Here is an 18,681-nt window from a genome sequence, read left to right on the forward strand (position 1 = left end):
AGTGTGCCGAGATCGCACCACTGCACTGCAGCCTGGTGACAGAACGGGACTCCGTCTCAAAAAAAAAAAAAAAAAAAAAAAAGAAATGAACATTTGTAAATGGAGTCTAATTAAATTTTGTACTTTAAAAGAAAAGTTACAAGTTAATTTGTTCTGTTGTTTCTCCTTGCTATTTTTATAACAATTAGTATTTAGGAATAACACTGTGGTTCAGATATGAACTATTTCACAAAATCAACTTAATAATGAAGTCAACAATTATTTCTCTTTATTCAATCTTGTCACTTAGCTCAAAAAAGAACTGCACTGCTCTTTCCTTTTCAGTGATGAAAAGGAACAGAATGCTAGAAAACCATCTTACAGCTTGGCATTTTTTCATTTGTTTATTTATTCATTTATTCAATGAATGTATTCCAAGCTAATTCCTTTTGCAACATTCTTTATCTGATTCATGTCTCCTCTGAAAACTTCCTCCTTTTATTTATTTTTTGCTTTTATATGTTCATCCTCATTTCTATTGACTGTAAAGTAGTCAAACCTCTCATTAAAAAGGAAAGAAAGAAATGGGGAGAAGAGAAGAAAGGGGAGACAAGAAAAGAAAGAGAGGAAATATCCCTTGATTTTACATTTTTCTCTATGGCTTTTGTATTTCTTCTATTTAAGAGCCAAGATTTTCCAAAGAATAGTTAATAATATAAGTTTCAAAACTTTTATTTCCCATTCACTCTTTAAGTACCCACACCAACTCGCAAAATTAATTTATTCTCACTGTAGAAAACTTGGAAAATGCAGCAAAATGTAAAAAAGAAAATCAAAACCATCTATAAATTTATATACTGCAGTTACCATTGTTGATTTTTAGTTCATTTTGTTTATATGCATGTCTTTTTTACATTCAGAATCATGTCCAATTTCAGATTTGTATATGACATTAAATTATGATCATTTTATTATATCATTAAAATTTTTCAAAAACATAAATTTTAATAACTACAAAATATTCTACCATATAGTTTTACAATAATTATTAATTTCAGATTTTCATTTTGTATAAGTGTGTGTAATACTTTGTCCCTGTCTCTGATTATGTCCATAAGATAAATTTCTGGAAGTAGAATTACAGGGTTAAAAGAGCAACATTTAAAAATACCTGATACGGAGGAGTGGCTTCTAGATGGCTGACAGAAGTACCAGGTACTCACCTCCTCCTAAAGAAAGGACCTAAACAGCAAGTAGATAATCACACATCAAACAGCGTGTCTATGAGAGAACACTGGAATTCATCAGGAAAGTGACAGGGAACATCTGAGGCATCGAAGGAAAGAGAAGCAAGGCAGCTGGTCCGGCTGGCATCAGCTGGGAGCCAGGAGATGCTCCTCGGTGCAGCAAAAGGTTAAGTGAGAGACTCCCAGTGGTCCACATTCCCACCATGGACTACTACAGTGCTAGCCATAGGAAAGCCCCTCAGCCCTCACAGGCCCTGAGACTAGTGTAGGGAACTGCCTGAGGTCCATACCACAGCATTGTTCCAGACAGATAGTTCGTGCTGGGTCCCACACATCCCTCAAAACCCAAGCAGCTAGCCAGGTGCAGTGGCTCATGCCTGTAATTCCAGCACTTTGAGAGGCTAAGGTGGGCAGATTGTTGACCCCAGGAGTTTGAGAATAGCGTGGGCAACATGGAGAAACCCCATCTCTACAAAAAATACAAAAATTAGCCAGATGTGGTGGTGTGCACCTGTAATCCCAGCTATTTGGAAAGCTGAGGTGGGAGGATTGCTTGAGCCCGGGGGATCGAGGCTGCAGTGAGCCATGATTGCACCACTGCACTCCATCCTTAACAACAGGTGAGACTTTGTCTCAAAAACAAAAACAAACAAACAAAAAAACCCAAGCAGCTGCAGCACCATGCCATTTTGAGAGCCCAGCCCCCACAAGACTGCATCCTGCCCTGGGATCCAACAATCCCTGCATCTCCGCATTCATGGAGCCCTACTGACCCCCTCCCAAGTCTGCCTAGAAGGCTGCAGTGGCACAATGCTGACTGGACCCAGCAGTGTGGCCAGGTCCCTAGCACTCTAGCCCACGGTGTCCTACACCCAAGAAAATGGGCAGCATAGCACACCAGAGAAGTTGCCACCAGGACAAAAAGAGCTGAAGTTTGCATTCCCCAGAGTCTAAGGCCATGGCCACTGACAGCAACTCTGCTCTGCCACACCCCCAGTAGTGGGCCTGCCATGCACCTGCACATGCCTGCAGTGGGCCTGAGGACTGACCTGCCCAAATGCCATCCTGGGGCCTGAAGACAGGCTTACGCTGCTCACTGCCACCACCACTAGGTGCCTAGGGATTGCCTTGCTCTGCCCACCAAGCCTGGCCTATGTGCACCATTGGGGTACCTGAGAACAGGCTTACCCTGCCCTGTGCTACCCTCTACAGTGCCTAAGTGTTCAGGGCCCTAGGGATCAACCTGTCCTGCCTGTCATACTGACACATGCATCTGGGGGCCTAACACAGGCCCAGACTGCCTGCTGCCAGCATCCAAGCATGCAATGCCATAGAGGAGCCTGAAGAATGCCCAAACCCAGCCACCACAGTTGCCCCTGTGTGCACCATTAAGGGACCTGAGGACAGCCCACTTCTATCTGACATAGCTCCCTGCATTCCCTGAGTGTGGCATCTGGGGGCCCGGGGATCAACCTACCCTGCCTGCCACTTCTGATATGTGCCTACACCATCAAGGGGCCTCATAACAGGCCCAGACTGCCTGCTGCCAGCACCCAGGCATGCTATCTGAGGGGCCTAGAAATCACTTCACCCTGCCCACCACAGCCCATGCCTGAGCGCATTATCAGGGGCCTGAGGACAAGCCCACCCCACATGTACTACTCAAACCCCCACCTGCACAAGCATGTTGTCCAGAGGGATGGGGATTGTCACATCCTGCATACCACCACTACATAGACACACACACACACACACATGCACTCACACATCCCAGGGGCCTGAGGATGGGCCTGCCCAGCATGTTGCCACCACCACCACCAGCACCCACCTGCACCATACCACAAGGGCTGAGAACAGGCCCACTCAGCCCATTGCTGCCACCATTGAAGCTAATGTATGCTGACTGGGAGCCTAAGGGTTGGCCTGCCACCACTACTGCAATTGCTGATGCCATGCATACTGTCCAGGGGCCCAAGAACCTGCCCACCCACCCAACTTACCCCTGTCATTGCTGGTACATAAACAAGCAACCTTGAGGCCCAATAATTGTCCCCCCAGAACCAGCTAAAACTGTACCCAAGAGCTCAAGGAAAGGCATGTTGGCCTACTTCCACCACTACTGGGGCCTTAGAACAGGTCCATTTGGTATCCCCATCCCCAGCAAAGCCTCATTACAGCCTCCACTAACAACTGTAGCCTAAGCCACTGAGGAAATCACATGATGCTGTCTACAGCCAAATAAATCATACAGAGATTACACTGCTGCATCCACCCAGAATCAAAGCTAAAGTGCCCTACCCAACCAACACTATAGATACATCTACAGGAAAAAATATTTACCTGTGAAAGCCAGACCAAAAAATTAGATGAGGTGACTGTCATAACAGATTGAGTAGATATCAATGTAAGTACAAAAATGAAAATGAAAAGCCACAAAACAAGATAAATTCAGAGAAACACAATAATTCTCCAGTAGCAGGTTCCATCAAAAAATTTATGAAATGCATGAAACAGGATTTAAAATAATAAAGAAGCTCAGTGAGATACCAGAGAACACAGATAAATAACATGAAGAAAGCAGAAAAACAATTCATTATGTGAATAAGCAATTCACCAAAGAGATAGATGTCATTAAAAAAGAAAAACAAAAACAGAAATCCTAGAACTAAAGAATTCAATAAATAAAATAAAAAATACAATTGATAACCTCAACAATAGACTAGATTAAACTGAAGAAAGACTTTCTGAACTTGAAGACAAATCTTTTGAAATAACTCAGTCAGACAAAAAAAAAAGAAGAAAGGAAGAAAGAAAAGGAGTGGAAAATCATAGACACCCTATGTGACATGTGGGACACCATAAAGTGACCAAAAATCAAATTATAATGTTCCATAAGAAAAGAGATGGACAAAGGCACAGAAAATCTATTTAACAAAATCATAGGTGAAAAATTCTCAAGTCTTGCAGAGATATAAACATCTAGACACAAGAAAGTCAAAGAACCTCAAATAGATTGAACTCAAAAAGGTCTTTTTAAATGCACATTACAGTCAAACTGTTGAAAGTCAAAGACAAAGGAAGAACTCTTAAAAACAGCAAGAAAAAAGTGTCAAATCACAGAAAAGGGAATACCAATCAGACTAACAGCAAATTCTCAGCAGAAACTTCACAGGCTAGGAGAGAATGGAATGATATATTAAAGAGCCAAGGGAAGGCCATTCCAAGATGGCCGAATAGGAACAGCTCCAGTTTGCAGCTCCCAGCGTGATTGATGCAGAAGAAGGGTAATTTCTGCGTTTCCAATCAAGGTACCTGATTCATCTCACTGGGACTGTTTGGACAGTAGGTGCAGCCCATGGAGGGCAAGCCAAAGCAGGGCGGGGCATCGCCTCATCCGGGAAGTGCAAGGGGTCAGGGGATTTCCCTTTCCTAGCCAAGGGAACCCGTGACAGACTGTACATGGAAAAATGGGACATTCCCACCAAATACTGAGCTTTTTCCAATGGTCTTAGCAAATGGCACACCAGGAGTTTATATGCCACACCTGGCTTGGCAGGTCCCACATGTATGGAGCCTTACTCACTGCTAACACAGCAGTCTGAGATTGACCTGTGAAGCAGCAGGCTGGAGGGATAGGGGTGTCTGCCATTGCTGAGGCTTGAGTAAGTAAACAAAGCAGCCATGGAAGCTCAAACTGGGCGGAGCCCACCGCAGCTCAGCAAGGCCTGCTGCCTCTGTTGATTCCACCACTGAGGACAGGGCATAGCTGAACAAAAGGCAGCAGGAACTTCTGCAGACTTAAACGTCCCTGTCTGACAGTTCTGAAGAGAGCAGGAATTCTCCCAGCATGGTGTTTGAGCTCTGAGAACAGACAGACTGCCTCCTCAAGTGGGTCCCTGACCTCTGTGTAGCCTAACTGGGAGACACCTCCCAGTAGAGGCCGACTGCCACCTCATACAGGAGGATGCCCCTCTGGGACAAAGCTTCCAGAGGAAGGATCAGGAAGCAATATTTGCTGTTCTGCAGCCTCTGCTGGTGATACCTGGGCAAACAGCGTCTGGGAAGAACCTCCAGCAAACCCCAACAGACCTGCAGCTGAGGGACCTGACTGTAAGAAGGAGAACTAACAAACAGAAAGGAATATCATCAACATCAACAAAAAGGACATCCACACCAAAACCCCATCTGTAGGTCACCAACATCGAAGACTAAAGGTAGATAAAACCACAAAGATGGGGAGAAACCAGAGCAGAAAAGCTGAAAAGTCTAAAACCCAGAGCACCACTTCTCCTAAGGATGGCAGCTCTTTGCCAGCAACAGAACAAAGCTGGACAGAGAATGAGTTTGATGAGTTGACAGAAGTAGGATTCATAAAGTTGATAATAACAAACTTCTCCAAGCTAAAGGAGGTTGTTCAAAACCATTGCAAGGAAGCTAAAAACCTTGAAAAAACATTAGACGAATGGCTAACTAGAATAAACAGTGTAGAGAAGACCTTAAATCAGCTGATGAAGCTGAAAACCATGGCACAAGAACTACGTGACGCATGCACAAGCTTCAATAGCCAATTCGATTAAGTGGAAGAAAAGGTATCAGTGATTGAAGATCAAATGAATGAAATAAAGCCAGAAGAGAAGGTTAGAGAAAAAGGAGTAAAAAGAAATGAATAAAGCCTACAAGAAACACTGGACTATGTGAAAAGACCAAATCTACATCTCACAGGTGTACCTTAAAGTGACAGGGAAAATGGAACCAAGTTGGAAAACACTCTTCAGGATATTATTCAGGAGAACTGCCCCAAACTAGCAAGGTAGGCCAACATTCAAATTCAGGAAACACAGCAGACACCACAAAGATGGTCCTCAAGAAGAGCAATCCCAAGACACATAATTGTCAGATTCACCAAGGTTAAAATGAAGGAAAAAATGTTAAGCACAGCCAGAGAGAAAGGTTGAGTTACCCACGAAGAGAAGGCCATCAGACTAACAGCAGATCTCTCAGCAGAAACTCTACAGGCCAGAAGAGAGTGGGGGCCAATATTCGACATTCTTAAAAAAAGAATTTTCAACCCAGAATTTTATACCCAGCCAAACTAAGCTTCATAAGTGAAGGAGAAATAAAATCCTTTACAGACAAGCAAATGCTGAGAGATTTTGTCACCACCAGGCCTGCCTTACAAGAGCTCCTAAAGGAAGCACTAAACATGGAAAGGAACAACCAGTACCAGCCACTACAAAATCATGCCAAATTGTAAAGACCATCAATGCTAGGAAGAAACTGCATCAACTAACGAGCAAAATAACCAGCTAACATCATAATTACAGGATCAAATTCACACATAACAATATTAACCTTACATGTAAATGGGCTAAATGCCCCAATTAAAAGACACAGACTGGCAAATTGGAAAAAGACTCAAGACCCATCAGTGTGCTGTATTCAGGAGACCCACCTCATGTGCAGAGACACACACAACTTCAAAATAAAGGGATGGAGGAAGATCTACCAAGCAAATGGAAAGCAAAAAAAACCAAGGGTTGCAATCCTAGTCTCTGATAAAACAGACTTTAAACAAACAAAGGTCAAAAGAGACAAAGGAGGCCATTACGTAATGGTAAAGGGATCAATTCAACAAGAAGAGCTAACTATCCTAAATATATATGTACCCAATACAGGAGCACCCAGATTCATAGAGCAAGTCCTTAGAGACCTACAAAGAGACTTAGACTCCCACACAATAATAATGGCAACCTTTAACACCCCACTGTAAATATTAGACAGATCGAGACCGAAGATTAACAAGGATACCCAGGAATTGAACTCAGCTCTGCACCAAGCGGACCTAATAGACATCTACAGAACTCTCCACCCCAAATCAAGAGAATATGCATTCTTCTCAGCACCACATTGCACTTATTCTAAAATTGACCACATAGTTGGAAGTAAAGCACTCCTCAGCAAATGTAAAAGAACAGAAATTATAACAAACTGTCTCTCAGACCACAGTGCAATCAAATTAGAACTCGGGATTAAGAAACTCACTCTAAACCACACTACTCCATGGAAACTGAACAATCTGCTCCTGAATGACTACTGGGTAAGTAATGAAATGAAGGCAGAAATAAAGAGGTTCTTTGAAACGAATGAGAACAAAGACACAACGAACCAGAATATCTGGGACACATTTAAAGCAGTGTGTAGGGGGAAATTTATAGCACTAAGTGCCCACAAAAGAAACAGGAAAGATCTAAAATTGACACCCTAACATCACATTTAAAAGTACTAGAGAAGCAAGAGCAAACACATTCAAAAGCTAGCAGAAGGCAAGAAATAACTAAGATCAGAGCAGAACTGAAAGAGATAGAAACACAAAAAACCCTTCAAAAAGTCAACGAATCCAGGAGCTGGTTTTTTGAAAAGATCAACAAAATTGATAGACCACTAGCAAGACTAATAAAGAAGAAAAGAGAGAAGAATCAAGTAGATGCAATAAAAAATGATAAAGGGGATATCACCACTGATCCCACAGAAATACAAACTACCATCAGAGAATACTATAAACACCCCTACACAAATAAACTAGAAAATCTAGAAGAAATGAATAAATTCCTGGACACATACACCCTCCCAAGACTAAACCAGGAAGAAGTTGAATCTCTGAATAGACCAATAACAGGATCTGAAACTGAGGCAATAACCAATAGCCTACCAACCAAAAAAAGTCCAAGGCCAGATGGATTCACAGCTGAATTCTACCAGAGATACAAAGAGGAGCTGGTACCATTCCTTCTGAAATATTCCAATCAATAGAAAAAGAGGGAATCCTCCCTAATTAATTTTATGAGGCCAGCATCATCCTGATACCAAAGCCTGGCAGAGACACAACAAACAAAGAGAATTTTAGACCAATATCCCTGATGAACATTGATGCAAAATTCCTCAATAAAATACTGGCAAACTGAATCCAGCAGCACATCACAAAGCTTATCCACCATGATCAAGTGGGCTTCATCCCTGGGATGCAAGCCTGGTTCAACATACACAAATCAATAAACGTAATCCAGCATATAAACGGAACCAATAACAAAAACCACGTGATTATCTCAATAGATGCAGAAAAGGCCTTTGACAAAATTCAACAGCCCTTCATGCTAAAATGTCTCAATAAACTAGGTATTGATGGAACCCACCACAAAACAATCAGAGCTATTTATGACAAACCCACAGCCAATATCATACTGAATGAGCAAAAACTGGAAGCATTCCCTTTGAAATCTGGCACAAGACAGGGATGCCCTCTCTCACCACTCCTACTCAACATAATGTTGGAAGTTCTGGCTAGGGCAATCAGGCAAGAGAAAGGAATAAAGCATATTCAATTAGGAAAAGAGGAAGTCAAATTGTCCCTGTTTGCAGATGACATAACTGTATATTTAGAAAACCCCATTGTCTCAGCCCAAAATCTCCTTAAGCTGATAAGCAACTTCAGCAAAGTATCAGGATACAAAATCAATGTGCAAAAATCACAACCATTCCTATCCACCAATAACAGACAGACAAACAGAGAGCCAAATCATGAGTGAACTCCTATTCATAATTGCTACAAAGAGAATAAAATACCTAGGAATCCAACCTACAAGGGATGTGAAGGACCTCTTCAAGGAGAACTACAAACCACTGCTCAACGAAATAAAAGAGGACACAAACAAATGGAAGAACACTCCATGCTCATGGATAGGAAGAATCAATATCATGAAAATGCCATAGTGCCCAAGGTATTGTATAGATTCAATAACATCCCCATCAATCTAGCAATGACTTTCATCACAGAATTGGAAAAAACGACTTTAAAGTTCATATGGAACCAAAACAGAGCCTGCATTGCCAAGACAATCCTAAGCAAAAAGAACAAAGCTGGAGGCATCACGCTACCTGACTTCAAACTATACTGCAAGGCTACAGTAACCAAAACAGCATGGTACCGGTACCAAAACAGAGATATAGACCAATGGAACAGAACAGACACCTCAGAAATAACACCACACATCTGCAACCATCTGATCTTTGACAAACCTGACAAAAACAAGAAATGGGGAAAGAATTCCCTATTTAATACATGGTGCTGGGAAAACTGGCTAGCCATTTGTAGAAAGCTGAATCTGGATCCCTTCCTTACACCTTACACAAAAATTAATTCAAGATGGATTAAAGACTTAAATGTTAGACCTAAAACCATAAAAACCCTAGAAGAAAACCTAGGCAATACCATTCAGGACATAGGCATGAGCAAAGACTTCATGACTAAAACACCAAAAGCAATGGCAACAAAAGCCAAAATAGACAAATGGGATCTAATTAAACTAAAGAACTTCTGCATGGCAAAAGAAACTGCCATCAGAGTGAACAGGCAACCTACAGAATGGCAGAAAATTTTTGCAATCTACCCATCTGACGAAGGGCTAATATCCAGAATCTACAAAGAACTTAAACAAATTTATAAGAAAGAAACAACCCCATCAAAAAGTGGGCAAAGGATATGAACAGACACTTCTCAAAAGAAGACATTTATGCAACCAACAGACACATGAAAAAATGCTCATCATCACTGGGCATCAGAGAAATGCAAATCAAAACCATAATGAGATACTATCTCATGCCAGTTAGAATGGTGATCATTAAAAAGTCAGGAAACAACAGAGACTGGAGAGGATGTGGAGAAATAGGAACACTTTCATGCTGTTGGTGGGAGTGTAGATTAGCTCAACCATTGTGGAAGACAGTGTGGTGATTCCTCAAGGATCTAGAACTAGAAATACCATTTGACCCAGCAATACCATTACTGGATATATACCCAAAGGATTATAAATCATGCTACTATAAAGATATATGCACATGTATGTTTATGGCGGAACTATTCACAATAGCAAAGACTTGGAATCAACCCAAATGTCCATCAATGATAGACTGGATTAAGAAAATGTGGCACATATACACCATGGAATACTATGCAGCCATAAAAAAGGATGAATTCATGTCCTTTGAAGGGACATGGATGAAGCTGGAAACCATCATTCTGAGCTAACTATCACAAGGACAGAAAACCAAACACCACATGTTCTCACTCATAAGTGGGAACTGAACAATGAGAACACTTGGACACAGGGTGGGGAACATCACACAGCATGACCTGTAGTAGGGTGGGGGACTGGGGGAGGGACAGCATTAGGAGAAATACCTAATATAAATGATGAGTTAATGGGTGCAGCAAACCAACATGGTGCATGTATACCTATGTAACAAATCTGCACGTTGTGCACATGTACCCTAGAACTTAAAGTATATAAAAATAAATAAATAAATATAAGTGCCAAAAGGAAAAAAAAGCTGTCAGTGACGACAACAAAGCTGTCCTTCAAAAATGAAGGATAAATAAAATCTTTCCCAGATAAGCAAAAACTGAGGGAATTTATCACCACTAGAACGATCCTACAAGAAATGGTTAAGGGAGTCCTACATCTGGAAGCAAAAGGACAATATCTACATTTATGAAAACACACAAAAATATAAAACTCACTAGCAGTGTAAAACTCACAGAGATACAAATGAGACAGAGAAAGAATTCAAATGTTACTACTAAAGAAAATCACCAAACTTCAATGATAAACAACACAACAAAAATAAAGGGAAAAAAGATACACAAAACAACCAGAAAACAATTAATAAAATGACAGAAATAAGTCTTCAGCTATAAATAGTAACCTTGAATGAAAATGAATTAAATTCCCACTTAAAAGAGATAAATTGGCTAAATGGATTAAAAAAAAAACTTGACTAGATGCTGCTTACAAGAAACTTACTTTAGGTGTAAAGACATATATAGACTGAATGTAAAGGGAATGGATAAAAATACTTCACACAAAGGGAAACCAAAAGCAAGCAGTAGATATATTTACATCAGATAAAACAGGTTTTAAGTATAAAACAATAAAAAGTGACAAAGAGTATCATAATATTGTGTTAAATAGATCAATTAGCAAAAGGATACAAAAATTCTAAATATATATGCACCCAACATTAGAGCACCATGATATATAAAGCAAATATTATTAGTTCAAAAGGGAGATAGGCTCCAATACAATAATAGTTGAGGACTTTAATAGCCCACTGTTAGCATTTGACAGATCATTTAGACAGGAAATCAACAAAGCAACTTTGGATTTAAACTGCACTTTAAACCAAATGGGCCCATGAATGGAGCTGGAAGCCATTATCCTCAGCAAACTAACACAGGAACAGAAAACCAGACACCACACGTTCTCACTTATAAGTGAGAGCTGAATGATGAGAGTACATGGATACATTGTGGGGAGGAACACACACTGGGCCCTGTTGGATGGGTGGGTGGGGGAAGGGAGAGCATCAGGAAGAATAGCTAATGGACACTGGGCTTAATACCTAGATGATAGGATGATCTGTGCAGCAAACCACCATGGCAACATTTACCTATGTAACAAACCTGCACATCCTGCACATGTACCTCTGAAGTTAAAAAAAAAATGGACCTAACAAATATTTATAGAACATTTTATCCAACAGTTGCAGAATACATATCTTCTCATCAGTGCATAAAGCATTCTCCAGGATAGAACATATGTTAGAACATGAAACAAGTCTCAACAAATTTTTAAAAATAAAAATTATGTCAAGTTCTCCTCAGACTACAATGCAATAGAGCTAAAAATCAAGAACAAGAGGAACTTTGAAAACTGTGCATATACATAGAAATTAAACATGTTCCTGAATAACCACTGAAAGCACAGCTAAGAGCTTATTGCTATAATTTTATGGCAATAAATGCCCACATCAAAAATGTAGAAAGATTCAAATAAACAACCTAACAATCCACACCAAGGAACCAGAAAAGCAAGAACATCCAAACTTACAATTAGTAGAAGAAAATAAATAACAAAGGTCAGAGCAGAACTTAATGAAATAGAGACTAAAAAACAATGAAAAAAAGATTAAGAAAAGTTGATGTTGGTTTTCTGAAAAGATAAACAAAATTGATAAACTGATAGCTACACTAACCAAGAAAGGAGAGAACACCAATAAACAAAATCAGAAATGAAAGAAGAGACATTACAACTGATACCAGAGAAATACAAATTATCATCAGAGACTATTATGAACAACTATATGCTAACAAACTTGAAAACTCAGAGGAAATGGATATATTACTGAATACATATAATTTAACAAGGGTGAATCAGGAAGAAATAGAAAATATGAACAGAACAATAATGAGTAATGAGATTGAATCAGTAATGATAAGTCTTCTAATAAATAAAAGCCCAATACTGATGACTCCGCTGATGAATTCTGCAGAAATTTTAAAGAAGAATTAATACCAATTCTTCTCAAAGCATTACAAAAAAACTAAAGAGGGAGTTCTTCTTAACTCATTCTAAGGGCCAGCATTACTCTGAAACCAAAACCATACAAGGATACAATAAAAAAAAGAAAACTACAGGCTAACATTCCTAATGAGCATAGATGCAAACATCCTTGATAAAATACTAGCAAACCAACTCCAACAGCACATCAAAAAGATAATACACCATGATCAAGTAGGATTCACCTCATGGATGCAAAGATGATTCAACATACGGAAATCAATAAATGAGTGAACCAAGAGTAGAGAACCTGGATGTAAATCCACATGTTTTTGACAGCTCTATTAGTTTTCATGCTGCTGATAAAGACATGCGCGAGACTGGGAAGAAAAAGAGGTTTAATGAACTTACAGTTCCACCTGGCTGGGGAAGCCTCACAATCATAGGAGAAAATAAGGAGGAGCAAGTCACATCTTACATGGATGGCAGCAGGCAAAGAGAGAGCTTGTGCAGGGAAACTCCCCCTTATGAAACCATCAGATCTTGTGAGACTTATTCACTATCACAAAAACAACAGGGGAAAGACCCACCTCCATGATTCAATTATCTCCCACCAGGTCCCTCCAACAACACATGGGAATTGTGGGAGCTACAATTCAAGATGAGAGCTGGGTAGGGACACAACCAAATCATATGATTCTGCCCCAGGCCCCTGCCAAATCTCATGTCCTCACATTTCAAAACCAATCATGCCTTCCCAGCAGTCCCCCAAAATCTTAACTGATTTCAGCATTAATCCAAAAGTCCACAATCCAAAGTCTCATCTGAGACAAGGCAAGTCTCTTCCCACCTGTAATCCTATAAAATCAAAGGCAAGGTGGTTATTTTCTAGAAACAGTGGAGGTACAAGTATTGGATAAATACAGCCATTCCAAATGGGAGAAATTGGCTAAAACAAAGGGGCTACAGGCCCCATGCAAGTCTGAAATCCAGCAGGGCAGTCAAATCTTACAGCTCCAAAATGAGCTCCTTTGACTCCATATCTCACATCCAGGTCACGCTGATGCAAGAGGTGGGCTCCCAACATCTTGGGCAGCTCTGCCCCTGTGGCTTTGCAGGGTACAGCCTCCCTCCCAGCTGCTATCACAGGCTAGCATTGAGTGTCTGCAGCTTTTCCAGGTGAACAGTGCAAGCTGTTGGTGTATCTACCATTCTGGGTTCTGGAGGAAAGTGGCCCTCTTCTCACAGCTCCACTAGATGGTGCCCCAGTAGGGACTCTGTGTAGTGGCTCCAACATTTCCCTTCTGCACTGCTCTTGCAGAGGTTCTCCATGAGGGCCCTGCCCCTACAGCAAACTTCTGCCTGGGTATCCAGGCTTTTCCATACATCCTCTGAAATCTAGGCAGAGGTTCCCAAACCCCAATTCTTGACTTCTGTGCATTGACATTCTGTGGCTAAACACCACAGGGAACCTGCCAAGGCCTGGGGCTTGCATCCTCTGAAGCCACGGACTGAGGTGTACTTTGATCCCTTTTAGTCATGGCTGGAGCAGCTAGGACATGGGGCATCAAGTCCTAGACTGTACACAGCATGGGGACCCTTCCCAGCCCATGAAACCACTTTTTTCTCCTAGGCCTCCAGGCCCGTGATGGGAGGGGCTGCTGTGAAGACCTCTGACATGCACTGGAGATATTTTCCCCATTGTCTTGGGGATTAACATTTGGCTTCTCATGAGAAGCCAAATAAATGTACTTATGCACATTTCTGCAGCAGCTTGAATTTCTCCTCAGAAAATGGGATTTTCTTTTTTATCACATTGTCAAGCTGCAAATTTTCTGAATTTTTATGCACTCCTTTCCTTATTAAACTGAATGCTTTTAATAGCACCCAAGCCACCTTGAGTGCTTTGCTGCTTAGAAATTTTTCTGCCAGATATCCTAAATCACCTCTCTCAAGATCAAAGTTCCACAAATCTCTAGGGCAGGAGCAAAATGTCACCAGTGTTTTTGCTAAAACATAACAAGGGTCACCTTTGCTCCAGTTCCCAAAAAGTTCCTCATTTCCATCTGAGACCACCTCAGCCTGGATTTTATTGTCCATATCACTACCAGCATTTTGGGCAAAGCCATTCAACAAGTCTCTAGAAAGTTCCAAATTTTTCCACATTCTCCTGTCTTCTTCTGAGCCCTCCAAACTTTTCCCTCCAAATTGAATCATGAAGGGTGGGGAAAGATCTGCCCCCATGATTCAGTTACCTCCCCCCGGGTCCCTCCCATGGGAATGTGGGAGCTACAATTCAAGATGAGAGTTGAGTGGGGACACAGCTAAACCATATCAACAGCCAACTTATTTATTTATTTATTTTTGGGACCAGGTCTCACTGTCTTGTCCAGGCAGAAGTGCAGTGGCACAATCACAGCTTACTGCAGCCTTGACTTTCCAGGCTCAGCTGATACTTCTGCTTCAGACTCCCAAGTAGCTGGGACCACAGGCATGGACCACTATGCCCAGCTAATTTTTAAATTATTTGCATAGATGGAGCCTCCCTTTGTTGATCAGGTTCCAACTGATTTTTGACAAAGGCAAGAACATACATTGGGGAAAGGACAGCCTCTTCAATAAAAGGTGATGGGAAAACTGGACAACGATATGCCAAAAAAGGAAATGAATTTCCTGTCTCTCACCATATAAAAAATCAAAATGAATTATAGACTTGAGGGTATGATTCAAAACTGTCACACTACTAGAAGAAAACATAAGGGAAATGCTTCAGGACATTGGTATAAGCAAAGATGTTGTGGCTAAGACCTCAAAAGCACAGACAACAAAAACAAAACTAGACAAATGGGACTATATTAAACTAAAAAGTTCTGCAAAGCAAAGGCAACAATCAACAGAGTGAAGAGACACCTGCAGAATGAGAGAAAATAGTTGCAATGTATTTATCTGACAAGGGACTAATATCCAGAATACACAGGAATTCAATTTAACAGTGAAAAAAACAATATCAAAACATGAGCAAAGGATATAAATAGATATTTCTCAAAAAAAGACATACAAGTGGCTCATGCGTGTAATCCCAGCACTTTGGGAGACCGAGGAGGGTGGATCACGAGGTCAGGAGATTTAGACCATCTTAGCCAACATGGTGAAACTCCGTCTCTACTAAAAATACAAAAATTAGCTGGGTATGGTGGTGTGCATCTGTAATCCCAGCTACTCGGGAGGCTGAGGCAGGAGAATCGCTTGAACCTGGGGGGCAGAGGTTGCACTGAGCCGAGGTCGTGCCACTGCACCCCAGCCTGGTGACAGAGCGAGACTCCATCTCAAAAAAAAATCAACAGAACTAATCATCAAGGAAATACAAATTAAACTACAATGATATATCATCCCACCCCAGTTAGAATGGCTATTATAAAAAAAATTAACAAATTCTAGCAAGGATGTGGAAAAGAGAACTTACCCACTGTTGGTGAGAATGTAAATTACTACAGCCATTATGGAAAATAGTATGGTGGTTTCTCAGAAAACTGAAAATAGAGCTATCATATGATCCAGCAATCCCACTAATGGGTATTTATTAAAAAGAAAAGAAATATCAAAAGAACACCTGCACACCGTGTTGACTATAGCACTATTCACAGTACTTAAGATATGGAATCAACCTGTGTCCATCAACAGATGAATAAATAAGTAAAATGTGGTATATAAACATAATGGAATACTATTCAGACATAAAAAAGAAATCCTGCTATTTGCGGCAACATAAATGGAACTGGGAGTCATTATGTTAACTGAAATAAGCCAGGCACAGAAAGACAAATAACAGATGTTCTCACTCATATGTGAGAGCTAAAACAGTTGATCTCATGGAAATAAGAGAGTAGAATGATAGTTACCACAGGTTGGGAAGGGTCAGGGTAGGGGGATGAAGAGAGATTGATTAATGGGTGATCAACATTAGTTTGATAGAATGAGTAAGTTCTGGTGTTCAATAGTACAGTAGGGTGCCTATAATTAACAATTTATTGTATATTTCAAAATAGCTAGAAGAGATTTTCTATGTTCCCTGTACAAAGCAATGATAAATGTTGGAGATGATGAATATCCTGAATACTCTGATTTGATCATTACACATTGTATGGATGTATCCAAATATCACATGTACCCCATAATATGTACAATTATTAGGTATCAATTAAAATTTTTTTAAATAAAGAAAGCAGACTCGAATCAGGCAGTCTGGTTTCAAACCTAGGCTCTGCCCCGTGCTGGCTGCATGACCTTGGGCAAGTTACTTTACCACGTTGTCCATCAGTTTTCTTGTCTGCAAAGTGGGGATTAAAAGAGTTCTTGCTCAAAATGTCCTTGTGAAAATTGAGTTAATGTATGTAAAGCCTCTAGAATAGCACCATATAGAAACAGCCAAATGAATCTTAGCCATCATCATTATCATTACCACTTGGGTAGTTAAAGATATATGCTCCTCTGATCAGTTGAAGTTGCAAAACACACAAGCTCTCAGGCACACCTGCACACATTGGTATGTATACACACACACACACACACACACACACACACACACACACATGCTACACATAGTCCAATTGGCTACAGCTCCTTCTCTGGGGAAACCATCAATGCACTACTCTCCTACTAAAATCCTCTCCACCTCAGCTCTTTCTCTGAGAAAGGGAGATAACTCCTGTAACAGAATCTATGGGCAAGATAACACAAGAGGAAAGGGCAACCTGTGGCACAGCCAACTCTGGACAGAGTATCCTGGTGCCCTCCTTACCTCCCTTATCAGCCTATTTCCTTCGTTGTGCCACTCCTACCCTCCACTGCCACTCCAGGGCCTCCCCTATGTCCAGTGCCTGGATTCAGTGAATTTCAGAAGAGTCCCTGCTAAAGTATGAACTTTGATTAAGGTATTTGCTGATAAATTCAACTAGGAAACCTCACAGGGGAACTTTTCCTTTTTTAGAGGAGGAAGGAGCAATGCTTGCTTCATGGCTTCCCTGCCTCCAGTCCTTCTGCTTTTCCTCAATACCTGTCCCCATTGTGGTGAGAGCCCACAGCAAGTGGAGCAGGGGAACCATTCCGACTCTACCTGCCACTCCTCTGGAGGGGCTGGGGTTATATATGCTGGGTTAGGGAGACACAGCCCACATCAGCTGTGGGCTCTGTTACCAGATTATAAGTCAAAGCAGGGCTTCTTATATTTAGCTTAGAAAATGTTATCACCAGACATCTAGTCAGTCTCTGTGACTTCTGTTCCACAAGAAACTTTCACATTTTTAGGTGGAGAAAAGGAGAAATGGGCCAGAGGGCACACTAAAAAGAGGAAGGAGGGTGGGGTGCGGTGGCTCACACGTGTAATCCCAGCATTTTGAGGCTGAGGCAGGTGGATCACTTGAGGTCAGGTGTTCCAAACCAGCCTGGTCAACGTGGCAAAACCCTGTCTCTAATAAAAATACAAAAATTAGCCGGGTATGTTGGCAGGCACCTGTAATCTCAGCTACTCAGAAGGCTGAGGCATGAGAATAGGTTGAACCCGGGAGGCGGAGGTTGCAGTGAGCCGATTAGGCCACTGTGCTCCAGCCTGGGCAACAGAGCGAGACTCTGTCTAAAAAAAAAAAAGAAGGAGAAAGAGATTTACTTATGGGGTTGAACCTCTCAAGAAGCTTGCAAAGTCCCTGAAAAGACTAGACTTACCAGTGGCAACGCAGGTGTCAGCTGAATAAGTGGCCAGATCTTGAAACCATCATAGAAAGACAGCAATCCAAGCTGGGATGCTGGAATTTTCTTCATAATATATTCCTCCATATGATAATTTCCTATAATCACTTCCTGATAAATAGTCTTTCAGCTCCTTGGACTGGAAATAAACAGTTATTTCATGAGATGACACATACTCCAGATATTTGAGGTAGCTTCTCATGTATTCTCTCTGCAATGCCCTTCCCCTCTCCTTCCCTGCCAATCTGTCTTTTTTCCGTCTTCCTCAGCCTAAGTACCTCTAGTCTCCTCAACTATTTTCTATATGTGTGTGGACGATG

General features: G+C 41.1%; 1 annotated feature.

The window, feature by feature from the left end:
- Positions 1,764–2,575: an enhancer, noted in NCBI's record as "H3K4me1 hESC enhancer chr12:46674619-46675430 (GRCh37/hg19 assembly coordinates)". NCBI's record gives its function as "activates a minimal SCP1, AML or CMV promoter by ChIP-STARR-seq in primed H9 embryonic stem cells {active_cell/tissue: H9 hESC(primed)}" and the evidence as "EXISTENCE:reporter gene assay evidence [ECO:0000049][PMID:30033119]".

This window comes from Homo sapiens, chromosome 12 (genome assembly GCF_000001405.40).
Source record: "Homo sapiens chromosome 12, GRCh38.p14 Primary Assembly".
Taxonomy (NCBI): domain Eukaryota; kingdom Metazoa; phylum Chordata; class Mammalia; order Primates; family Hominidae; genus Homo; species Homo sapiens.